This window comes from Homo sapiens, chromosome 2 (genome assembly GCF_000001405.40).
Source record: "Homo sapiens chromosome 2, GRCh38.p14 Primary Assembly".
In the NCBI taxonomy this organism is placed as follows: Eukaryota; Metazoa; Chordata; class Mammalia; order Primates; family Hominidae; genus Homo; species Homo sapiens.
The window spans coordinates 199,776,387-199,803,504 of NC_000002.12; the positions used below are offsets into that span (position 1 = coordinate 199,776,387).

The following is a 27,118-nucleotide window of genomic DNA, read 5'->3' on the forward strand; positions in this document are numbered from 1 at the left end:
AATCACACTACTTTAATGCACTCGTGTTGCCAATTAATCATTCTAACAGCTTATGTCCCATGAAAAATGGCAGAGATGCTGCCTTTTATCCAATGGCATATCTAGTCCAGCACTGAAAGTGGCCTGCACAAGTATGGGATTTAACTAAACATCTTGGCATCAAAGGTACCACTCGGGTCCTCCTCTGCATCTCACATTACCAAAACTGCACACAACCCCTAAGTCAACTGTGCAAGGGAAGGTTGGCAGATGAAAGCAAAATATGCTAAAACTAAGGTGTGGTAGACACTCCGTAGATAGAGGGTGGACCCCACCCAAACTGGAGTTCAGATATTAAGACTGATGATTCCACATACAACACTAAAAAGGTACAGAAAAGTTTGTTAATCACTGTATTAGTATACTCCAGAGAAACAGAATGAATAGGATGTGTGTGTATGATTATATATTCCCTATATATACACACACACATATATGTGTCTATGTATACGTATGTATAGACACATATACATGTGTAATATATGTGTATGTATATATATATACACACACACACACACAGAGATGTGTGTATATGTGTGTGTGTGTGTGTGTGTGTGTGTGTGTGTGTGTGTGTGTGTGTATTGAGGCCAGGTACAGTGGCTCACCCCTGTAATCCCAGCACTTCGGGAGGCCGAGGCAGGTGGATCACCAGAGGTCAGGAGTTCGAGACTAGCCTGGCCAACATGGCGAAACCCCGTCTCCACTAAAAATACAAAAATTAGCCAGGTGCAGTGGCATGCACCTGTAATCCCAGCTACGTGGGAGGCTGAGGCAGGAGAATCTCTTGAACCCAGGAGGCGGAGATTGTAGCAAGCCAAGATCGCGTTGCTGTACTCCAGCCTGGGTGACAGAGCAAGACTCTGTCTCCAAAAAAAGAAAAAAAGAAAGAAAGAGAGAAAAGAAATTAGCTTGCAGAATTGTGGAAGCTAGAAAATCCAAACTCTGCAGGGTCAACCAGTAGGCTGGAGACCCAGTGAAGAGTTGATGCTGCAGCTCAAATCTGAAAGTGGTTTGTTAGCAGAATTTTCTTTTCTCTAAGGGAAGTCAGTCTTTTTCTATTAAAGTCTTCAACTGATTGGATGAGGCCCACCCAAACTATGGAGGGTCCTCTGCTTTACTTAAAGTTGGCCGATGTAAATATTAATCTCATCATAAGAATACCTTCACAGAAACAATTAGAAGAATGTTTGACCAAATATCTGGATATTATGGCCAAGCTGACACATAACATTAACCAGCACATTCACATAATGAGGCTTTCTGTGGGGAAAAGGGTGACTCTAAAGCACACCCAAAAATGGTTTGAGAGAGCTTGGGAAAGAGGCTGCTTAGGGATTTTTGGCTGACAAGGGGGTGGAACGTTCCCACTCAGGGCAGAGGTTCATGTGGCCTGAACCTCCCTCCAGCGCCAAAGGAGGGAGCGTGCAGGCTTTCTTATCCTGCATGTCTAAATGTGGGGCACAAGGGCAAGAGGAAGGGGTGCAGCTTAAAAGATATCAAAAAATAGAATCAGGCTCTGTTTCAAAAGAAAATGTAGATTTCACTCCATTTAATGAATTAAAAAATATAACGATAGAAGTAGAGAACCAAGAGGAAGAAACATTAACCAAAGTAGGTTTGACCACAGACACCTGCCACTTAAAACAGGTGGTCCAAAACATTCAATCTGTAATCCAAAACAGGAAGTCTGGTCCCAGTTGAAGCTATCACCATACACAAAGAAGAATAATTTAGGAGATCACAACCAGCAAGCAAAATGTGGCCAGCTGATACATATTTAGGTCTGGAGAGGAACTAGGCATTATCTCACTAACACCTCAATGATTCTTGTTCTCTCCCTCCTGAAAGCACGTTTGAAGGAGCAAACACCTAAAATCCAGTACATTTCTAGGTACTGAGGAATAAAAAACTGGGAACATGGTAGAAACACAGAAAAATGGTGACAATCTCTACTCAGTGGGATTACGCAGAAATCCCTGAAGTCATCTATTTTGCAGAGAACACATTCCTTAAGGTAAAATACAAATGCTGAAATTCAGTGCCCACCATTCCAAGGGTCTAAGGGCACCTGCGAGCACTTTCGGCCCCTTTAAGCCATTAGGAGACTTTAATTCCTCCTTCTAGGGAGCCAGCAGGGTGGTGAGCTCAGCAAGCCTATAAATTAAGCCATGAGTCCTATTTTCCCAGCAAAGCAAGTTTAGAATGTACTATATAATTCTGCAGACTTGACATACCTCCATTAAAGGGTATGCCCACTGAGTGTGGGATTACAAAAAGAAATTACAGATTTTCTAATAAATGCCTCAAACTGCCAAGAGAATGTGGTTCTCAGGATATTTTTTCCCTTTGTGGCTGAAAATAAACATGTTCATTGCTTTATAGTTTCCTGAAATGATGACATTCTAGTATAATTGCAAATTCTTGTGACAGGCAAAGGATATTTACTGACTGTAATGCTCTATAAAGCGCATGAGTAATAAATAGCTCAGGGAAGCCTTTCTCAGTAGACATGAGTACCAAATAAGTAATCACAAGAACTTTTTTGGTAAGGAGGAACACTCAGTCGTATCTTTTTCCATCAGATTATAATTGATAGATTTGCTCGGTCTTAAAATGTACCTCTCCAAGTTCTGAAATGCAAAAATTGGAGGTAAAATAAAGACTTAAAAGTCCTGTTTTCCTTATTATGTAAGTAAAGAGAAATCCAAATGAAATACCCACTACTATATTCAAACTATACACAGACAATATTTCTTATAAATTGGCTCTATCGGCTGGGCAAAAGACTATTGATATTTGCTCAAGTAAAATTTTAACTAGAACTATAAAGTTGAAGTGAAACATATTCTAGAAGAGTTATTCACTCTACCAAGGAAGCTAAACTTCCCAAATTTACTGGACCAATTGTGTAAGTGTCCTTGCCAGTTACCTAGACCTGACAATTATTTCATACAGAAGATCAGCACACAAACTAATCAGGACACAAACAAGTTATCTCAAAAGCAAATGGGGAAACAGAAAGCAAAATGGAAGACTGAAAATAGGAGAGGATTCTGGGAACACAGTGACCTGAATGCAGCTCCCCCTCCACCTTCCACATGTGCACTCATGATTTCAATCCATCTGCCTCTCTTGAACCAAAGGGCTCCCCTACACTCTTAGAGGAGAGAACCCCTGCAAAAAAGCGATGTGCCTCCAGGGATTGCACCAATCTTGGAGAGCAATGTCAGGGGATCTGGAGCAAGGACATAAGGACAATCAAACCTGGAAAACCATGGCCCAGTGTGGTTTGTGTACCCCAGGTAGGGGCAGGGAACTGTGGTGATAAGGGTGACATCAGCCTCCAGCAAATGTGCTTGAGATGGAGATGGTGACGTCAGTCCTAAGTGTATGGGGTTGTCCTCGCTCCTAAGAAGAGCTCAACAGCCAGACTGTATCCTCCTTGACTCTGAAAGAACAAACATGCAAGACAACTGAGGGCTTCTTCCAGGGGGCTCAGCAGAGGACCACAGCCTGCAAAATGAGACACTTTGCTTTCACTACCTGCAAAAGTACCACCTCTTATCACGTGCCGACAGCTAGCCCTGATGAAATAAAAAGCAAGAAACATAGCAATCCATGGAGTTCCCTGGAGAACAGACTGTGGTTAAGATTGGTGTGCAGGAGGTGCTCTCAGAAGTGCCTGTCGAGTGAAGGAAGCAGGACTGGACAGAGAAACTGAACTAGGATGCAGCCACAGCAAAGACCTTATCCAGCTCTACAGGGACCTCTGGAGCCCGGATGGCCCACCTCGCTAGGATAGGGCAGGGGGCTGCTGGGCCCTTATATCCCTGAGTCCACCATTAGATGCTGCCTTCCTCACAGAAGAAATTGACCAAGGGCAAATCCTGAGGAGGGACTCTGTTAAGAGCTGTGTTCTGCCAGCACTCCCAGCAGACTGTGGAATGACTCCTGCTGATGGGAATCTGGCAGCACCCCACACCTCAGTCCACTCTTAGGCCATTCACCCCCATGTGCTTCATGTAACAAGTTCTGGGATCAGTTTCTTCAGGATTCTCACTGGTCTCTTCCTGAAAAAAAATTAAAGATGAAAACTAGAGGGATGAATTGCCATGCTTCTCTTCCTGCTTCTGCAGCTGGTCTCAAAACCAGCCCATCTCTTCCTCTATTACCTAATCCAGGTTCCCTTTGTCCCTAGGTAGCACTTCCGCTGATCTAGACAGCTTGGCAAAGTAGCACACACCCTCATTTTTGGGGTTCTGAGCCCTAGCTTAGGGCATGGCTGCTGCACTTGTCTATTTGATATCACAAGTGGGCAGGGGAATACCAAGAGATGCCACAGCAAATTGTCTTGTTGCCAAATACATTCTCCACTGTCACCATTAAGTACCAGCTCCTCTGCCCTTTCCTGGTGTGACCAGGATCAAATGTCCCTGCCAGAAGAGTCACTTCTTTCTGTGCCTGCTGTTCTCTTGTGTCCCCTCATGGAAGTGCTCTTCCTCTAGGGAACCAAGGTGTCTAACCCATACTGCCTAGAATTATAGAGACAGGAAGCACACAATCTCTGCCACAATGTACTCTATTCACATGCCCATTGTGCCAGCACCGAGTGACTGGTGTCAGAGGCTGGCTGATGACTTTCTCCTTCCACATAGATGTTCATATGATATTCAAGGCTCTCTTACTTCATGTCCGCTCCCACAGGTCCATCATGTCTCTTACTCAGACCTCCTTGTCTTTGGTTATCCAGTATTTCTCCCTCCAGGCATTTGACCAAACAGCCAGGATATAAACCATTACCTATATGTACATATTTATTCTTCTCTAAGGCAAAATTCTCAAGCGTGGAATATGCTACCACCAAAATATGAAGCAGCTCCTCAGGCTCTGTGCTTCCTTCCTACTGACAGGAGGTATATGATGTAATAACATTTCCTTTACCTTGGAGGTCATCTTCCAGACCACAGAAGCCCTATAAAATTTACTAATTTAATGGGCTCCTGAATCATCTATAGGCATTATTTCCACTTTCTGGAGCCTTGAACCTACTTGGTGCTTCTCTTTCATCCAATCCAATTAGCACAATGTCATAATAGATTGACACAATAGACCAGTAAGATATTCTGTAGAATATCTAGGCAGTTCATATCTCTTTAGAACTACAGAATGGCAGGGGGTGGGAAAGTTAATATAGCCCTAGGGAAAAACCATACATTCTCTTGTTCACTCCAGAGCATGTGAGCTATGTCTGATTCTCTTTCCTGTGGAAGGAGATAGAATAGAATACATATTTGGCAGACAAAATGTCACATACCATGTTTGTGAGGTATTGTTTTTTTTTCTTGTTTTTTGTTTGTTTGTTTGTTTGTTTTGAGAAGGAGTCTCGCTCTGTCGCCCAGGCTAGCATGCAGTGGCGCCATCTCGGCTCACTGCAAGCTCCGCCTCCCGGGTTCACACCATTCTCCTGCCTCAGCCTCCCGAGTAGCTGGGACTACAGGCGCCCGCCACCACACCTGGCTAATTCCTTTTTTGTATTTTTAGTAGAGACAGGGTTCCACCATGTTAGCCAGGATGGTCTCGATCTCCTGACCTCGTGATCTTGCCGCCTCAGCCTCCCAAAGTGCTGGAATTACAGGCATGAGCCACTGCGCCAGGCCTTTGTGAGGTGTCGTTAATTTGCTCTACCAAAGACAGCACAACTGGCACAAGAGCTACAACTGGGGCCACTATTTGTGAATTTGTGATAGTTCACTCTCATGCTCCAGGATCCATTTGGATTTTTCAGGAGGCTGACTATTGAATTAGAGATATGATTTCTTTACTTCTTCAATGTCTGTCACACTTGGGCAAAATGGTATTTTTAATCAACTTTACTGAGGAATAATTTACATACAATAAAATGCACTCATTTTGAGTGCATAGTTTGATGACTTTTTGACAAACGTATGAATGAATGTAATCAGTACCACTGCAATCAAAATATAGAACATTTCCATCACCCCACTATGTTCTTTTGTGACCCTTTTCAATTTACTATTTTGATTGAGGGGGAAAGTTTCAAAGGATTCCACATAGCTTCTCTACTGGGAAGGTTCTTAACCTACAGTTCTGAGATTCAATGTGGGAGTTCTACTAACTGGCAGTTATGTCCGCTGCAATAATATACTGAGGGACTAGAGAGATGCTCACCCAGTGGGTTTGTGGGACTGGTGGACCTGAACCAGAACTCTTCCATTTCTCACCTGGTCTCCACGTATCCTCCTAAGAGGGGGCCATGTTAAAACAGCAAGTTTCAATCTCAGTTTCTAGCTCATTACTTCTATTCAATAGTCTTCAAAATGTCTGGGACTTGCTCTTCCATCATTGTTTCATAACTGTATACTATAGTCATTCACGATTTTGCAGGGTCCTTCATCCTTCAGATCCAGCCACTCCTTCAGTTAGTGGCTTCCATGTCTAAAAACTTGGTTCTATATATTAAACAAAGGACTATGATTTTTTTGGGGTGGTCATCCTTAACATATTGTCAACCATTCTTGACTTCTTTTGATTGTATAAAATAAGCAACCCTCTTGCTGACTGCCCATCTCTACAGATTTCTGTAGGTTTGGCACTCTTGGATATCACTTTGACTTGCTATTCATGATGATAATGGTGCCTGCTCTGCATTCTATCATACAGGGCCATCAGGGAGCCTGGTTCTGAAGCAGCATTGCCTACTGTCAGCCCTAGACAATAGAAGACGCCACTAAGCTTTACTGCAAGGCCATGGCCTGTTACCAGTACTTTTCTCATTATACAATAAACAAGTATTCTCCAAGCCCACATAACATAGTTGGCTGGTGAGTTTTCTGGCCCTATGTAGAATATCTACTTTAGTATGCCTACATCTCTGAGTCTTTTTTGTTGTTGTTAAAGCCAGTCAAATTTAGCAGTGGGGGGTTGTATACCTACTTTAATGACACCAATGTTAATAAGTTCTCGTATACATCTTTGGGTCTTTTGATCCACCCTTCAATTATTGGCCATCATAATTCTAATATTTCAACGTTACATGGTATGGGCCATCATTATCTCCAAGCTTCCTAGAGCTTAGGTATTAGCACCATCTTCTGGGACCCTGTCAGGGTTTTAAATTCTTTATATCAGAACAGTGCTCATATCAATAAATTCTCCCTTATCCAGATTTATGTTCCACCTTCATCACACCAGCACTTTCAGGCTCCTGTCCCATACAGCCTCTCCTGGCTCCTGCCTACCCATGTTAGGTGGGTCCAGCAGCACCTTCAGGACACAATTCTCCTCCTCCCTCAGCAAGCCCAGCACTTCTCTAGACACATTACATTGTTCATCATGTGAGTTACTGGTCTAAAGCCATGCAGCCAGGTGTGGTACCTTCTGAGTGGGGTCTTTCTGTGCTGAAAAAAAAAACAAAAAGGATTTTGTATCATGTTCAACCATGCTACAATGCTAGCTTTTGATGGGGAGGAGTGATCCCAGAGACTTCAGAGGAATTTGGGGATTCAAGATTCAAGATGATAAGTGCATCATTCCACATGTCCCTATTTCAAGTCTCAGGTTCCCATTCCCAAATGAGGCCCTAACCTCAGGGTAGCCAACCTCTTAGGGTTGAAAATTTAATCTTCCTTCATGGCTCACTACCCTTATAATTAAGTTTGGGACCTGAACCTCAGCTTTTTCTACCCTCCATTTACAGGAGATGAAAGAGTCTTTATATGCTACCAAGTAGGACTTCTTGGTGATTATCCCCAAACTTGTCTCGCTCCAATGTATTAAAGACTCCCAGCAACAGCAATCTGATTCCAAAGTCCTTGTAATTACTACACTCAAATGCCTGAGATACTCCTCCAGCAGGGCATTCTGGTCTACCTATGTGTAATTCCTCCTCAGCACCAGGTAAAGATTAGGAATTGCACCAAGACTGTATGCCAGGGGCTCTCAGTGCTCTATCTCACACCAATGATGGGGGTCCTTGCTGCCAACCTGTGCCATGGGATTCAGCTCTAAAATCCCTGTTGTAGATCGTGTTCCTTGGAAAACAGACTCTGAGGCTCTGAGATTTGCATGCCAGAGGTTTATTGGGGAGGACTCTCAAAAACAATACCTGTCGGGGTGAGGGAAGCAGGATTGGGCAGAGGGAGAACTTTCAGTGCCATGTATTTGCTATGAAGGCCTCAGTCATCTCACTGGGAGCTGTTGGAGCTGGGACTCTCCCTCAGACTTGCCCCAATTGAGGCGGGACTTTGTACCATACATCAGCCAGTCATTGATGTGGGCTCTCCCCAGGGAGGAAGTGTGGCCTGGGTAAGGCGACTCTCCGGCTGGGGACAGTTCCTGGGGAGAAACTCATCTGTGAGTTATCAGCAACTAACTCTTCCAGGAGTTGGGGAAACAGGGGCTTCTAGAAAAGTGGCCTAAGGATAGCCTACAGCATTCAAGACTCCATCAAAGTGGGATTTGTAGACTGAGAACACTTAAAACACACAGAACACATGCCCAGTTAACTCAAATTGCTGGGGAAGTTTGAGATTCATTTGAACAAAAATAGTAACAGTATTTAATTCTATTCCCCTGAAACTAAAAATTAGGATTTCCCAACTATATAATGAAGTTAACAAGGTTTGTTGCTCACCCCGTTTGCTCTTTCATCTTCCCTAACTTGAGTTATCTGTTCTGCTTTATTGACTGTTTGGTTAGACATATTCTTGAGTGTTTTCATGATCTCATACATGGGGGATATGAAATGTCATATATCATCACATACCTTTCTTTCTGTCAGGGTCTCTAAACTCTTCCAAATTCCTTTTTTTTTTTTTTTTGAGACAGAATCTCACTCTGTCGACCAGGCCAGAGTGCAGTGGTGCGATCTCAGCTCACTGTGAGCTCCACCTCCCGGGTTCACGCCATTCTCCTGCCTCAGCCTCTCCGAGTAGCTGGGACTACAGGTGCCCGCCACCACTCCCAGCTAATTTTTTGTATTTTTTGCAGAGACGGGGTTTCACCATGGTCTCGATCTCCTGACCTCATGATCCGCCTGCCTTGGCCTCCCAAAGTTCTGGGATTACAAGCGTGAGCCACCGCGCCCAGCCAACTCTTCCAAATTCTTAAGTTGTAGTCCTTTTTACTTGTAACCTGTAGATATTATTTCAAAATACATTTTTATTAAGTTTTAGTTATTATTGGCAGCAATTCACATGATTGAATTTTTTTGTCTTTTAGAGACAGGGTCTCTGTTGCCCAGGTTAGTCTCAAACTCCAGAGCTCAAGTGATCCTCTCACATCAGCCTCCCAAGTACAGGTCCTCCCTGAGGCTACAGGTGTGCACCACCATGCCTGGCTCACTTGACTGAGTTTAATGTTGTTTAGTCACCAACAGAACAATGATGTCCTAAATCAGTGGTCCCCAAACTTTTTGGCACCAGAGACCAGTTTCGTGGAAGACAATTTTTCCATGGATGGCAGATGGCAGGGGGGATGGTTTCAGGATGAAACTGTTAGTTAGATTCTCATAGGAGCACACAGCCTATATCCCCTACATGTGCAGTTCACAATAGAGTTCGTGCTCCTATTAGAATCTAATGCTGCCACTGATCTAACAGAAAGTGGAGCTCAGGCAGTAATGCTCGGCTTGCCCTCCTGCTGCTCACCTCCTGCTGTGCGGCCCAGTTCCTAACAGGCCACAGACCAGTACCTGTCTGTGGCCTGGCAATTGAGGACCCCTGTCCTAAACAACTTTGTGTTCACCCTGATTGTGGAGTTGTGTAGTGACCACAGGCATGAACAGTCTGGGCTACCTCCAGCCCTGTATATATATATATATATATGCATACACATAATGGGGACTTCAGAACTTTAAAAAGGGGTGTCACTTAGCCCTGTTTATATATATATATTGGGGACTTCAGAACCTTAAAAGGGGGTGTCACTTAGCCCAGGTTGCCACATCATTTGACTGAGGTTTACATTTCTTTGGCTTTTAAGGTATTTGCATGTTTTTCCTGCCTAGCCCTTACTAAAAACCTTTGAACTTGATCGAATTCCACTCTTCTCATATTTTTTCTTATTTAGGAGTGACACAATTACTTCAGATATTAAAATGATGTCTAACTGGATTCTGAGTATCACACAAGACTGAGTCCACTGTTACAATTTCTAAATGGTCCTTCCTATGACACCTATTTAACATACATTTACCATATTTCATCAAATTTACAGTACATATTTTTTCATATTTTAATGTCTTGAGATCAGGGTGAACCTTCAAATTGCTGTTAGCCGGCGATCAGTGTTGAAACACTAGCACTGCCTGCACATTGTATTAAATTTTCTATGGCAACTTGCTGTGACAAGTTGCTACCATCATAATGCCTGGAACCACACAAATTTGTTATCTTACAGTTCTGGGATTCAAAAGTCTGAAGTGGGTCTCATTGGGTGAAAATCAAGGTGTCACCTGGGCTCCATTCCTCTATGGTTCTAGGGGAGTTCTAGGGAAGAATCTGTTTCCTTGCCTTTTTCAGCTTTTAGAGGCTGCCCTCTTTCCCTGGCTTTTGGCCTCTGCTAGCTTCAAAGTCGGCAGCAGCATCTGGATTCTTCTCACATTGCATCACTCTGACCTCCTTTACTGTCTCCCTCTTCTGCATTTAAGGACCTTGTGATTCCTTTGGCCCGCTCAGATATCAAGGATAATCTTAATATTTTAAGGTTGGCTGATTGGCAACCTTAATTTTCTTTTCTTTTCTTTTTTTTTTTTGAGATAGAATCTCGCTCTGTCACCCAGGCTGGAGTGCAAGTGGCACGATCTTGGCTCACTGCAACCTTCACCTTCCAGGTTCAAGCGATTCTCCTGACTCAGCTTCCTGAGTAGCTGGGATAACAGGCGCACACTACCACGCCCAGCTAATTTCTTGTATTTTTAGTAGAGACGGGGTTTCACCATGATGGCCAGGCTGGTCTCGAACTCCTGGGCTCAAGTAATCCACTTGCCTTGACCTCCCAAAATGCTGGGATTACAGGCATGAGCCACCACTCCAAGCCTTGGCAACCTTAATTTTCTATCCCACGTAGCCTAACATATTCACAGGTTCTCGGGATTAAGACATTGAGACTTTCTGGGGAGGGACAATATTCTACCTACCACATACATGCAATATAAAACTTGCAGAACTCGTGTCAGAGGTTTGAAAGAAAATCTCAGAGACAAGAGAGAAGCATTCTTTGAAAATATTCTACATTGCCACAGCTCTTTGTGTCACAGACGATGACATTATATGGGGGAAAAAAATACAAATGTCAACTATATGACTTGCAATATTTTGACTGTAATTCTAGAGTCAATGGCATCTTAGATTGAAGGAAACAGAGTATAAATTCACAGATAGTCAATTTTAATATTTTATATTTAAGTAAAAATATAAAATACATAAATGTATATGAACACGTACTTTTCCGAGGACATAATTTTGTTCTGCATCCCTGTGGTGATGGTGTCATTAGCACTAAATGCAAAATTGGAATTGTAAGCACTGCAGATTTGTATTCCATGCAGAAACTGGATTTCTGCATTTAAAATAATAACCAAAACATGAAAAGGCAATGTGAATATGAGCTTGCAGATAAGGCTTATAAGAGTAGAATTAAGGGCTAAGATGCTATAAGAAAAAGAACATAAACAATATTAGAAGATGAAAGCTTATTTTTCTTTTACAAAGTAGTGCTTAAGTGAGCAGTCCTGATAAAGATGCCATTTTTTCCATATGGCTATTCAGGGACCAGGTCCTTTCTATCTTGTTGCTCTGCCCTCCCCAAAGGCATCTGTGCCCTTGGCATGAAGCAGGGGCTGGCATATCTGCATTCTAGCTGAGAGAGGGAAGAAGAGAAATTCTAGGGGAATATTTTTTTAGTAGATATTTTAGCACAGCATATTCTATGATCACAGTAGAATAAAATTAAAAGTAAATAATAAAAGGGTCGCCAAAATGATCTCGACAACTTGGAAATTTAAAAGCACTCTCTTGAATAAGCCTGAAGTAAATCCCGAGAATAAAATAGAAAGAGAAATTAGGAACTGTTTGGATAATAAATCCTATATGATACAGCAAGATCTTTGCAGAGAAAAATTTATTGTTTGCTATTACAAAAAAAGGGCTAAAAATTAAAGAATTAAATATTCCCTCTTTAAAATTAGGATAATAAACACAAAATAAACTTAAAGAAACTAGGAAGAATTAATAATAATAAAAGGTGAAATTAATAAAATAGACCCCCAAGTCTGAAAGAATAAACAAATTACAAACAGTTCCTCCTTTGAAAAGATTATAAAATGATGTTTAAAAAAAAGACTCACAAGCCTGATTAAAGATAAAGGAGAGATCCTAAAAATAAGAGCAATAGGATGTATAACAGATACAGACAGAGAAGAGATTAAAAATTATGAGAATTCTATGTGTAACTCTATGGAAAACAAATTTGAAAATCTAGAATAAATGGATAATTTCATAGCTGAATATAAGTCACCAAAATTACCCAAATGAAAACTTGAATATGGAAATTACCATAGAAGAAAGCTATCATTACGAAAAAAAAAAAAGAAGTCACTAGGGCAATTTTATCCAATCTTCAAATTGTTATAGTTGTAAACTTACTTAAATTATTCCAGACTCTAGAAAAAAAGTGAAAGTTCTTGAATTTATTTTATATTACAGCAATTACACCAAAACCTATGAAAGATGGTAACACAAAAATGAAAAAACAAGCCACAGATTAATCTTACAGTGAATATACTACAAATACTAAGCAAAACATCAGCAAAATCCCAAAGGAGTAATATGATATAACGAAGAGTAGTTTATTTCGGGAATGCAAGACGGTTTAATGGTAACAAATACATCAACATAATCCCTTACATCAATACATTAAGGGAGAAGAATTATTGAAAATGTTAATAAATGCCAAGATGTTATTTGATATAATTCAGTAGTCATCTCTATTTTAAAAACTTTAAAAATAATAGTAATAGAAGAACACAACTTATAACACAGAATATTTATGAAAAAGCAAGCACATATATTTTCCTAAATGGTAAACCATCACAACCATCTTAATTAAAATTAGGAACTTAGCAAGTAGGCCCAGTATCTTCATTACTATTTAATATTATCTCTGATTTTTAGAGAAAATTAAATAGCTTGCATAAGAATTGAAAATGAAGATACAAAATTACTTCTTTTCATTGGTAACATGAATCCATGCCCAGGAAGCCCACAAGAAATTCAAGTTTAAAAAATAAAAACCTTTAGAATAAATAAAATTGACAAGGTAGCTGGATATAAGATAAATATCTAAATATCAATATATTTTCTCCATAGAAGTACTTAGAGATAGAAAACAGGAAAATATTATATTTACAGTAGCAACAAATAAAATACTTGGAATAAAGTTTCCAAGAAAGATACAGGACCTGCATAAAGAGGATGGTAACTCTACTGAAGACATAAAATAAGGTCTGGCAAGTGGAAGGATACACCATGTTCTTGGCTGGAATACTTAATTTTATTTAAAAATATCAGTTATATAAATGTAATGTCATTTTGATTAGAATTTTGACAAGGTTTTTGCTTTTATGAAAGCAAAGAGGGTGGGAAGAGAAAGAATTAGATAATTTTATACTAAAACACTTTTGAAAGACTATGTAAAAAATTAAAATTTCTGTATAGCATAAGACACTTGAAAGGCAAAAGAGACACAGTGGCTATAAGAAAAAAAAATGCGGCTGGGCGCGGTGACTCATGCCTGTAATCCCAGCACTTTGGAAGGTCAAGGTGGGCAGATCACCTGAGGTTGGGAGTTCGAGACCAGCCTGGCCAACATGGTGAAACCCTGTGTCTACTGAAAATACAAAAATTAGCTGGGCATAGTGATGTGTGCCTATAGTCCCAGCTACTCGGGAGGCTGAGGCAGGAGAATCACTTGAACCTGGGAGGCGGAGGTTGCAGTGAGCCAAGATCGTGCCACTGCACTCCAGCTGGGGTGACAGAGCGAGACTCTGTCTCAAAAAAAAAAAAAAAAGTGTCAGAGTTGATATACAAAGGGGTATCTTTGTAATATACAAACAGATCTCACAATTTGATAAGAAAAGGATAAAAATCAAATAAAAATCAAATAAATGCCTATTCAAATATATGAATAGGCAATTCTTAAATAAATACTTTTTTTTGACAAACATATTCCTTAAACATATCCACACTGTCAACCAGCAAATTCACTAATAGTTAGGAAACTGCAAACTAAAGTAACAATGAAATTTTACTTTACACTTGAGTGGCAAAAATTAAAGAGAATCATATTTAATTCCTACTGCTTGGCAGACACATGGGATAAAGATACAAATACTGCTAGGTATAAATTTGATGTGTTACAGCTCTTTCAAAAGGTAATTTCAATTTCTGTGAAAATTTAAAATATATAATATACTCTTTAACGCTGCAATCTCAACTTCTTAAAACCTATCCCAGAGACATAAAAACACCACTGGCAAGTGTGGACATAGGTATTGTGATATTTATTAAAGCATTATTCATAGAACAAAAAATGGAAGCAAAGTGATTAAATTATGACCCATTTACAACATGAAACATTAAGAAGCCATTAAAAGGAATAAATAGGAACTATTACGTATCAATTAATTCAGAACTATTTCCATGAAATCCTGCTTATAAAAATCCTGCTTTATTTTTGTACATGCATATATAGGTCTGTATATAATTGTATGAAAATAGAGGAAAAAATTTAAAAGATATCATTTGTCAACATGGATCACTGAGAGGGGGAAGAAAAAGGAGAAAAAAGAGTTCTGGGAACCCAGCAAAAAGAGAAAGGAAAAAGTAACATTTTACTTGAAGAATGTGTAATATAATCAAATTATACATTTAAGTAAAGTTATAAACCTGTATGTGTGTATACAGTTTTTTAAAAATAGAAAAATTTAAACGTCAACTATTAGATTATGATTTAAAAAGCACGCAACTGAATTAAGACCCAGGGGAAAGACAATATCATAAAGCACTACACTTTAGTCACTATGGTAACTTGCAAAGTATTTTTGCAGAGCTGTTCTCACAGCTCCCACACGTACAATCAAAACAAATATGCTAAACACTAAAATTTAAAGAGAATTGGTCATTTTATGTGTTGTATTAACACATTTAATAGTGTCATTGTACATAATATAAAATTTATGTTAAATCCATATAATGTTATGCAGTCAAGGCCATCTATTTTTGTTTACTTTGATAACTGTGTTTCCAAAGGACTAATAGTATAAAGAAAAATTTTTGATGGTGCAGTACAAAGTGATGAGAGAGACTACAAGCAAATATAATGTGCCCCATTCAAATATATGTATATGCATATGTGTATATACCTATTTGTATATACTACCGCTATAGTATATGCTACATTTGTATATAGTATCACCTTTTATAAATTATTTACATGAGCTAATTTCCATAACAGTACTAAAAGAATTAGCTACGTTATCCCCTTTAGAAGAAAATAATATGTAAATAAATAATATAGCATATTTACCACTATGAATTTTGTCTTTTCCTCCGTTTTGCCTTATCCATTCAATTTTATGTGTAAAAAAAAAATCACAGTAAATTTTGTTGAAAAGAAAAAGCAAATGGTGGGAGATGAAATTTTGAAAAAATTATTTTTCTATCACTCTTAATGATTCAAATTTCACCAATATTTGAAATATGAAGCCCCAAAGCAACTGTGCAATCAAGTCTCCTAAAGTAGTAGGTGTTTTGGTAAATATAGAAATAATTGATACTAGATTTTAAAGTACATTGAACGTTATTTCTCACCAGAGATCTCACTTCTATCCAACCAAATCTGCTATACCCTTCCAAAGTCCCTGCCTCATCCTGCAAATATTACATCCTCCTTTGAGGATCCTTCCCTGACTCTGTCCAGCAGAGGACTTTTTGGCTCTTCCCTTCTGTCCTTACCACTGGTACTATACTTAGGGGGTTGTATATTCTTCTCCCTGCTTGGTTGTGAGCAAACAGGGCAAAACCAAATTTCTGTACCTTTCGTGCCTGACTACATACATGCCTACCAACTACCCACTCACACATCACTTATTTCCCATTCTGTGCTCTTGCCCATGTTACCTCAATCTTTAATATTCTCACCCGTCTCGCTAATCTGTGTTTCCTGCAAACCTGACAGCATTTCCCTCTGATGACTTCTTATCTCTACAGTCCACTTATCCCCAGCATAGAGATTTATCTCCTCGTGTCTCTGCACTGCTTCCAATTGCTTTCTAATGACTCCACATGTGCAACCTTTGTATCCAAAGCAAGATCCTAAACAGAAACCGTGGGTGCTATTTTTTTAATTTCCAAATATGCTAGTACCAAACATAAGTAATTTAACCATCAATACTGGTTAAATTAAGGAACATATTTTTTCCCCTCTAGATTCTCATTGTATTGTCAAATATGTTATTAATGTATAATTTTCTGATTTCTATTTAATGGATAGATTAGGGAGCATACACACAAAAACAATGACCTCAAAATACTTCTGGGAAAGTGGTGAAATGAGTCTCTCTTCATTTGCCTACAAGGACCCAAGTTCCTTCCTCCTACTAGAAACAGCTCTTGATGCTAATTGCTGCTCTTATACATATGGAATTAACATCTCTAACTGCCTGCAAGTATCTTTATACCCAAAGTTCCCTTAGAAACATAATGAGATGAGTGGAAATGGAAATAATACATGAGATCAGAAAAATAATAAAGTAGGTGAGCTGTGAATAAAGGATAAATAATCCAAGGCATAATTCTTATCTAGTCCTCAACAGAAACCCTCTGAGAGTTAGTTTCATATTTCCTGAGAATAGACGGAGGAGGGGGGGCATTACTTGAGAAGCAAGTGAAAGAAACATAAAATATATATGACTACCCATCATCAATAAAGAGTCATAATAAGGCTACCAAAACCAAACTGGAGAACAACAAAGGAATAAAAGTATTTTGAAGTTTGGTGCAGTCCGTTTATATAGACATTTTTCCCTTATGAATTTTCACAAAATCATCCATTCTTCAAAGCTAACCATGATTTGATCAAGACAATGAAAAATCTAAGATTATTTTTTGACATAGACATTTACATTTTTAAAAAAAGCTGAGTCCCAGTGTAACAATAAATGCATAGCACACATGAGTAAAGAAAATGGCTATCGGATTGATATTCCCCCTTAAACATACGGCATTGACATCAAGAACTCACAACCACCCAGGCCACGACCTAAGACCAGCTGTAATGTGAATCCACTAAAAAGTAGGGAAAATTCCTGTGTTGCATTAAACTTTAGTTTCTTTCCAGAGCTATTATTTTAACAGATACTCATTATACGTGTACTTCACTTCATTATCATTTTTTTCTCCGCAAGGTTAGTTCAAAGTGTAGGACCAAAACGTTATAGAAAGAGGTGGCATAAAGAGTAAAAGCTGCATTTCTAATTATCCCAGCTGAAGATCACTTTTCCATATGTTGATGTTCAAATGAGTCAGCACCCTAGTGGACTCTGATGTGTCTTAGATGGACAGAAATACTCTAAATTTCATCATTGAAAATACAGATACGTTGAAATTTTATAATTCTGGATGAATAGTAATGGATATTAATCTTATTAATCCTATCTATTTGAGTACACACTGGTGGAAAATTTAAGAGCCAGAAAATTTTTAATATATTTCCAATGCTCCTGAAAGGAACTGGGTGGTTTTTATTCAAAATAGTGGGCTGGCAATATTTGCATAGAAGAACCAGCATTCCTACACAAAAGTTTAAAAATATAAAAGCACTGTGGCCAAAGCAAATATTTCTCACTTGAAGGAATAATGGAGTGATGGATTATGCGGATCAGTGGCCCAAAGATTCCAAATGTACTAGCTAATAACCACGTTTCTACTTCTCTATGGTACAAAACCTTGCATCTTTCAGTGAATCCAATCAGAGGCTGGTAGCCATTTGTTATTCTGACTTTTCCTGGAGAACAACTCAGCCATTCTCATTAAATTAAGAACATTAACATTTGTCACATTCTGAGGATATTTTAATAATAATGCATTCATGGCCAGGTGCAGTGGCTCATGCCTGTAATCCCAACACTTAGGGAGGCTAAGGCAAGTGGATCACTTGAGTCCAGGAGTTTGAGACCAGCCTGAGCAACATAGTGAAACCTCATGTCTACAAAAAATACAAAAAATTAGCTGGGCATGGTGGCACGCAACTATAGTCCCAGCTACTTGGGAGGCTGAGATGGGAGAATTGCTTGAGCCAGTGAGGCAGAGGTTGCAGTGACCCAAGATCAAGCCACTGCACTCCAGTCCAGCCTGGGTGACAGAGTGAGATCCTGTCTCAAATACTACTATTACTACTAATAATAATAACAATGCATTCATGTTGTTGTCCTCCCAGGCACCTTACCCTCTTGAAGAGGCAACAACATGTAGGGACTTTGGAGTCAGACTGACCCAAGGTCAGATTCTGGCTCCATCATTCAAAGCCATGTGGGCCTGAGAAAGTCACTTAACTTCAGTTAAGCATTAGTTTCCCTATTAGAGAAAAGGAAATAATAAAAATTTGACTTGGACTGCTGCAAAATGCCCAACCCAATGCCTGACATACAAGGCACTCAATAAGTGGTAGCTGATAAAATTACTTTTCCAGTATGGCACTGACTGGAGAATAAGAGACCCTTTGACCTGAGTAATCTTGTAATTTGTCTTTTACCCACTTGTTAGGCTAGATCAGACGTGATGGCTGAATACAGGATGGCTAGAGAGAGGAGTTATTGCAGGTTTCTTCCAGCTGAGCCTCGATACCTCACTTTCCTCCCAATACAAACACGTGGTTCTTTCTTTTTCTCTGCTCAGAGGGCATCTTATTAACGAGGGCTTTCCTGAACACCTTACAAAAACGTCCTCCTTATTCTTTATATTTCTACATGGTACTTACATCATATGAACATTTTTCCATTTCTTTTTATTTGTAAACTGCCTGTCTCCTGCCACTAGAAAGCAAGCTCCCTAAGGGCAGGGACTTCGTCTTATTCACAGCTCTGTTTCTTATAACCTGAGTGGCACACAGTAGATCAACAAATATTTATTAAATAAGTAATTTTCTCAAAATAATAAACTGTTTCCTGCCAGGCAGTGATCTGGAAACACCAGAAGGCTGGCACTTCTTCCAAAACTCCTAATGGATCTCATTCAAGGAGCAGGGGGGCCCTCTGTGCTGACCTCCAAGCTGAAAATGACAATGGAGATTTTGAGAAATGTTTGTCTTTCTGATCTGTCAATGTACTGTTTATATCTCATTGTCATCCATATTTCCTTTTCTTGTCTCGGTAAATGCTATTATCTCTCTTAATGTCAAGCTCTTAGGTAAAAGCACTATGTCTATAACATTTTCTGCCACCACCAAGTTTTAGATACTTAGTACATGCTGAGGGGTGATGATCTTTGCTATGTGGAAAGGATAGCATGCTCTTAATTTTGGCCTCAGAGACAATCTTTACATTCTAGAAATGATATAAAACAGATTGGGAGATACCAACTATGTCTTCTAGAGATATATGTTATTGAAAAAAATACAATAGAACATGCAGAAGTGATTCTGATTTTAAAATTTTAAACAGAATTAAAAACAAGGTTTTACTTTTTTGTTACTGTTGCTTAAAAATTTTGTGCAAGTTTATCACGGTGACAATAAAACAATGAATAATGCCAGAATAGTTCAAGAAAAAGCAGAATTTTACCTGAGTTATTTAGAATAGTTGCTCCAAATTGCTATCTTCCTATGTATCATATTAAGTAATGAACTTTAAAATATTGATAGCCATCAAAATACACACATCCAATGGACTTATCCTCAACTGAAGCATATTTCTCTAGCAAACGGTACCGTCACTGAAGTCAAAAATATGTGAACTGTAATTATAACACTCACAAATTGTATACCACTTTAAATTAACTTTATTGAATTACAATTAAGAGACTATTGACCTTTCAGATGTTGAGTGCACTTGGTTTTAACTTTAAACAATCAACTGTAGGTCAGTCATTTCTTCAAGTCGATGTCCAGATTTTAAAGGATAATTGAAGATTCTGAATCACATACTCATAAGCTGATTAATTGTGACTGACACAGTCTCTGCTGCTAAAGTCTGGATCAATGGCAAATTTACTCATATTACAAAATTTGCTCATGCAGTGGTTTCCTTTTGTTAAGTAGTATCCTTAAAAAAAAAAATCCCATACAATCTACACCAAAATGTCCTTTCTGGCTCAGAAAACAAGTAGTAAATATTTAATAGTCTTTTAAATATGTGTAACCCTTTACAAAGTAAACTGTATTAAGTTGTAGGACTATACGCCTTAAGCCCTCATTGACCAACTCTAAACTGTGAGATCCAAATGTTGGCAGTCAAAAATCTCTCCTTTGCAGCTTCTCAAGGAACTGACCACTAGATAACCCAGAAAAAAAGTAAAACATAAAAGAATCCCCTTTTATATGATCAAATAGTAGAAACACCACCATAATTACAGCAATAGAGCATTATTGACATGTAGTATGGATGCTTATAAGCGATAGCAATCATTTCTAATGAGAAATACAGTATAATATTGAATAGTTATAAAGATACACTTTCAATTTCATTTTCAATCTATGTTCATTAGCAACAGTGGAGGCTAAATCTTATTTAAGTAGAAATGAATTTCAATATGCAGAATGAATGAATCCATTTATGCAGCAGGTGAAATTCCACGAGATAAACATATATTTATTCTAAGTAAGCAGAAAGCTACATATTACACTGTCTGGGTAGAAATACCTGAAATTTCATGCGTTTGAGTGTCTTAATTCTTTTTTTATTTACAACAAAGTCACACACCCAAAATGCTATTTTAAAATCAAAGAAATCTGTTCTGAATCTCATTTTACTATTTAATAGAGCAGCTGAAAAATGACTTAAAGATGTGGCCATATGGTGTGAAAATCCAGAATCAAGGAAAGAATGAGATACTGTAAACATGTAAAAAGCAATAAAAGGAGGCAACTCTAAGCTCAGTTAATGAAAAGCTGATGATGGAGACTGTCTTTTATTGATTACATTTGAGGACACTGACTCACTGGTGTTTTCCAAAACATAAATTCTGCATTTCAAGTGTTTGAGAGATTCAGCTAAGTCTCTTTCCCTCAGCCTGGAATTGTTTGCACAGAAAGACTCCATAGAATAAATTACTGAACCTTCCAGCACAGCTCAATTAACTGAATGAAGCCGGGAGAGAAAAGCTCCAATCTGGTAGCCACAGAACAGAACCTGGCATCGTTTTTGCTTAAAGAGTTTACAAGTAGATCATGGGGCATTTAAAAGACAGCCTGAATTTAAGAGTAAAGACAACAGGAAGAGGCATGAGGAGCTCCAACTCACACTTTTTCCCACTGGCGTTTCTGCAGGAAGTAAGTCAGGTGTTTGCATTCTCGAGTCATTTGATGTCTGTCTTTATGAGGAATTGTGATGTCTCTACCCTCTTTCCCCAGCCTCACACATAAGTTGAGCCAGACTTTCTGTTCCCTAGAAGTTCAGAACAGCTTTTTCCTTTAACTGTCCCTTATAAATGTAACTCAACTTGATGCAACAGAACCTGAAGTCACTTGATAAATGATTAAACCAACTATACCTAGAGAGTTATCTAGTTCTGACTCAACACCAGGGCTTGGAATTCAGCTATTGGTACATTAATTTATTTAGCAAAGGTTTTCTGAGACCAGGTATTGGAATTACCAAGTGGAATAAAACAGCCCTGTTCTCAAAGATCTCAGTCTAGTGAGAAAAACACCCTGGCAAACAAAAGTTATAATAAATGAGTTAAATACCCCAGCCAAAGTGCATAAAGTTTTCAGAAGGAGCTTCCAAATTGGGAAAGTGCTACAGGTTCTGTGGAGGTACAGTTCACCTACGTCCTCAGAGCAATTTTAGATTTCACTTCATGGGACACATGAGGATGAGCTCAAGGCATCTGAGACATTTCCCTCACTTCCTTGAAAGAGTAGCATGACCCTTCTTCTCATCCATCCCTTCCTCTTCATTCCACCACGTGAGCGGCACAGAGAGATCAGAAGGGCCCTGAGGTTGACTTTCAGAACAAGAAAGTTAGACTCTCTCTCCCCTTGGTTCTCCCAAACCACTTGGTGACAAGACAACAATGAGCAGGAATCATGCTAACAATCTTATGGATTGCTTACACGTCAACTACTGACTGTTGCCCTCAACCATACATGATCCCACAGCCAAATAAGTCAATAGCTGTGGAAGTCGGGAAAACCACAATGTAAATGCTGAAAGCCCCACATTGTACCAATGGCGTTTTCTTACAAATAGATGACATCCTCATCAGTAGCAAGTGTTGAAAACACAAGGAATGCCTGAAGAATGGGAGGGGGGTGAGTCTGTGAGGAAATCTTGTGGAAAGAAGAGAGATATTTGTAACAGCTGAAAGGAAATCCTGACACACCAGCCTCCAAAATCACTAGGCCGCCTTTCAGCCCAGGGTTCCCTCCTGCCTGGGGAATTTGGCCCCTTTCCAATGGCAGTGCCCTCATGTGCTACGCTGAAAATAAAACAAAGGATGCCATTCATCATATTTTTCAACAACTGGTTTCTTTTCTTAGTTTGAAAGAAAAACTTGGCAATCGTAAAGCTGAGTTTTTTATTTTTATATATTTTCTTCTTCGTGTCAAAATAAACTGGAAAAGAAAAAAAATAGCCCAATGGTAAGAAAAGGAAAATACACAAAATCCTTCAGAGCTTAGTTGGCCACACACTGCCACTCGACTGACACCAAACCGTGGAATGCATCTCTCTCAAGTTCTCCCAGCCCAAAGAGCCGGCTGCCTTCTGCTTCTGTAGATGTGGCTACTTAGAGAAATTCAAATAGGCTCCCAGTGTTAACTATGCTGCATATTTACTTTAATCAAAGTGACATTTCCCAGATGGTGTCATCCAGAAAACCTCATCCGAAGTGAAGAGTACAAGAGAATTTAGCAGCTCATTCCAGGGAAAATTGAACACAGGTGCTCTCCCATTTTAAGATGACTCAGTTTACAAAAATATAAAACTATGTAACAGATACCCTTTTGGCATGAATATCCCAGCCCCATAGATATCTGGTACCTGAAATTGGTACCAGGCAATCCATATGAAGGTGTGAATGTATAAATGATAACATCTCTACATTATCAGCTGCACAACCCTAATACTCTTGGGTGTTAATTCTGAGCCTGAATGTTTTGCCATTCCCAGACCCTTCCTTTGCTGAGCAGAAGGAAAGGTGAGAAAGAAAGTGCTTGAGGCAAGAAGCTGCTCTAAGGTGCCTCTGAAAATTAGTAGATCTAAATGCATTATTCACTGAATACCCAGAGTTTCCATGCTGTAGGTAAAACAGACAGCTTCCTCCATGGAGGTTACAGGATAATCACTTTTAATCACAGTATAATAAAACACTGTGATTATATAATAATCACAGTATAATCACTTTAGTAATTAGTTAATTGTGATGTGAGCTAGGAAAGAAAGGACAGGCATAACGGAGCATGTAACCTACCCTGGTGATCTTAGGAGACTTTTCTGAGGAAATGACATTGTCACTCTAGGAACTGGAGAGCAAAGGGTAAAAGAATAGACTTCAGAAAGGACAAACCTATACAGAAACCTGGTCCTGAAACTTACAAGATATATGACCTCAAGGAAGTTACTTAACTTCTCTGAGCCTCCGTTTCTGTACCTGTAGAGTGGGAATAATATTGCTCTCAGAGGGCTGTTGTGAGAATTAAATAAAGTAATAGATGTGCCAAATGCTTGGCATGTACTCAGCACACGGCCAGGTCCAGGTCCTGTGAAGCTGGAAGCTTACACCATTTTGAGTACCATCATTAAAAAATAACCCAAAAATAGGTTTGTAAGTGAATTTAGAATGAGAAAATAAATTACAACAAACTATACATTTTTTAACTACAATTATTGTGAATTCCAGAAAAATAACATATACTTATTATCTGTATAGTGCTATACATGTTTTCCACATTTTTATGGCTACTCTTTTGTCACCTATGCAAATGATAGTAATCTGTCATTTTATATGAACAGAATATAAAATAACTCATTCCTTTATTTAGAATGGTTGACAGAAATGTGTTTTTAATCATTAATGTTTGGGATACAACTTTCCCAACAGGCAAATTCCCATGGGACATACTTGTTCTTGATAGCTATATCACAGATTTGTTCCTCTAGAAACAGAAATTCTGATCAATTCTGTTTCCTATGATTATCACAAAAAATGAAATAATCTGGTGTCCTTATAATTGTATATACTACATCAACATATACATAAGTGCAGCTACAGCTTCTGTATTGGATGGACATTATTAAAAACCACATCCTTTGCTTACAACCTTGTGCTGCCAATAACTAGAAAGATTTTGCACAGATTAGCTTCTGGCTCCATAGCTTTTGATCCTCGTTTTTCCTCCACTTCTTACATACTTCTGATGCTGGGCACCAGAGGACACACTCACCTGTGATGGTCCTCTGGCCCTGCTTTGTGAGTCACAGCACTGAGTGAGCCATCACAGAGGGCAAGAGGAGTACTCCTGGGAGCCGTTCCTGCACTGGAAGAGCTGGTAATGACTTCACTAGACACGGATGTGACTATGAACCACACAAATATTCACAACTCAACTTCTCCTTTATTTGAGTCCAAAAATGTCCAGAGCCACTCCCAGAACCAGCCATATAACTCACGGGGCCCAGTGCAAAATGAAAATATGGGTCCCTGCTGGGGGTAGTGGCTCACGCCTCTAATCTCAGCACTTTGGGAGGCCCAAGCAGGTAGATTTCTTGAGCTCAGGAGTTGGAGACCAGCCTGGGCAACATGGTGAGACTCCGTCTCTATCAAAAATAAAAAGTAAAAAAAATAGCCAGGTGTGTGGTGGTACTTGCCTGTGGTCCCACCTACTCTGGAGGCTGAGGTGGGAGGATCACTTGAGCCTGGGGATGGAGGTTGCAGTGAGCCAAGATCACGCCACTGCACTCCAGCCTGGGTAACAGAGTGACAATGTGTCTCAAAAAAAAGGAATAGGCCGGGCACGGTGGCTCACGCCTGTAATCCCAGCACTTTGTGGGGCTGAGGCAGGCGGATCACAAGGTCAGGAGACTGAGACCACCGTGAAACCCCGTCTGTATTAAAAATACAAAAAATTAGCCAGGCGTAGCGCCGGGTGCCTGTAGTCCCAGCTATTCAGGAGGCTGAGGCAGGAGAATGGCATGAACCCAGAAGGCGGAGCTTGCAGTGAGCCGAGATCGCGCCACTGCACTCCAGCCTGGGCGACAGAGCGAGACTCCATCTCAAAAAAAAAAAAAAAGGAATAAGAAAAAAATTATTCAGAATTTCCTGACAGTAACAGCAGAACATTGAACCAAGCATAGGACCCTGTGCTATTGCACAGGTTGCAAGCTCATGAAGCCAATACTAGCTGCTCCGCTGCCACTCATCATGAAAGGACATATAACAAAGAAATAGAGGTGGGAAGAGACAGCAGTTTCAACAGATTGTGCCTAAAATATCTAACTTGTGTACATTTTTCGAAATCATACAACCATGTAAGCATATTACTAGGGCCTGTGAACATATTACCCAGGACTTACTAGGTCTCCATACAAGTGAGGGCACCTACATCTTATGTATCACTAGGATAATGATAAATCTGCTCCTGCTGAAATGCAGTAGGAGCTCAATAAATATTTATGAATGAAGCTTCATCCTCAGGGACTTTACAGTCTAGCCAGCAAAACAAACAACATCAATAAAACCCTGTAACAAGTCAATGTGTCAAGTCCATAAACTAAAATTGCATAAAATGTAGGGATGTGAATTAAAAGTAAAAGAAATGACCAGGTGACTCTGCATGGTTAGCCAGCCAGGAGTTCTGGAGCACTGGCTGCACAATCCACATCCATCCTGGTTCTAGCAGCAGTGTTGGCCTCACCTGGTGGCAATTTTCCTCCCTGATTTAAATACTGATGGGGACTACTCTGGGTCCTATGGCTGACTTGGCTATTTCAAGATAGTGGGAGTGATTTCAGGCATCTCCCAATGAGTTGGAGCAAGTCTGTGGCCCAACTCAGAGAAATTCATCTGGGAGAAATCTGGCGATGTGCAGTTCATCCTCCACTTCCCCACCTGATGAGAGAGGGTTGTGCCTAGCAGCACAAAATGCACAGTCCTACAGAGGAGGCGCTGACAGTCCAGGGGAGGAAGTCACAAAACTAGAAGCTAATAGTTCTTTCAGGTACAAAAAGGAATAAATGGGCAAGAACTCAGAATATGATAATAGAGTAAAAGACAGAGTTTGGGAGGCTGAGGTAGGAAGATCATTTGAGCTCAGGAATTCAAGACCAGCCTGGGCAACAGAGTGAGAATTCATCCCTATTAAAAATAAAAAGAAATAAAAAAATTAGCCAGCTGTGGTGGTGTGCACCTGTAACCCCAGCTACTCGGGAGGCTGAGGTGCAAGGATTATCTGAGCCTGGGAGATTGAGGCTGCAGTGAGCCATGATCATGCCACTGCACTCCAGCCTGGGTGATGGAGGAATACCGTCTCAAAAAAAAAAAAAAAAAAAAAGACCTGGAAGAAATTTTAAATGAGGAAAGAGTACAGAAGTATTGGAGAGAGGCCTAAGATCTGGAAGAAGTCTCAGGATCCTGAGTGGACCATCCTATAAAACTGCCATAGAGGGGTGAGTCAACTAACTGGATGTACAATTTCGAACTGGAACACAACAAACTAGAGGTGAAGGCCCATCAGGCCTAGGAAGAGAGGCCTGGAGATCTGAGAATGTGGGTCCAAGGTTATTGTTTTGTTTTGTTTTGGTTTGGTTTGGTTTGGTTTGGTTTGTTGAGACAGGGTCTCACTC

At 39.7% G+C, this 27,118-nt stretch overlaps 1 protein-coding gene across 17 annotated transcripts in view; it reads right to left on the reverse strand.

The window, feature by feature from the left end:
• The window catches only part of FTCDNL1 (formiminotransferase cyclodeaminase N-terminal like), a 187,358-nt gene that overhangs the window by 112,552 nt on the left and 47,688 nt on the right, over window positions 1-27,118 (reverse strand). The window contains exon 4 of one of the 17 annotated variants that reach the window (XR_002959289.2): window positions 7,299-7,457. The exons of 13 other annotated variants lie outside the window; for them this stretch is intronic. Coding sequence is in view for 3 of the 4 variants with exons in the window: in XM_047444170.1 (XP_047300126.1) it covers window positions 7,408-7,457 (50 nt within the window). In the remaining variant the exon portion in view is untranslated. Of the gene's footprint in view, window positions 1-5,894; window positions 7,458-9,081; window positions 9,193-14,597; window positions 19,387-27,118 lie in introns of those variants that run through there. 3 more of the 17 variants (XM_047444170.1, XM_024452872.2, XM_024452854.2) reach the window with 3 other exon arrangements.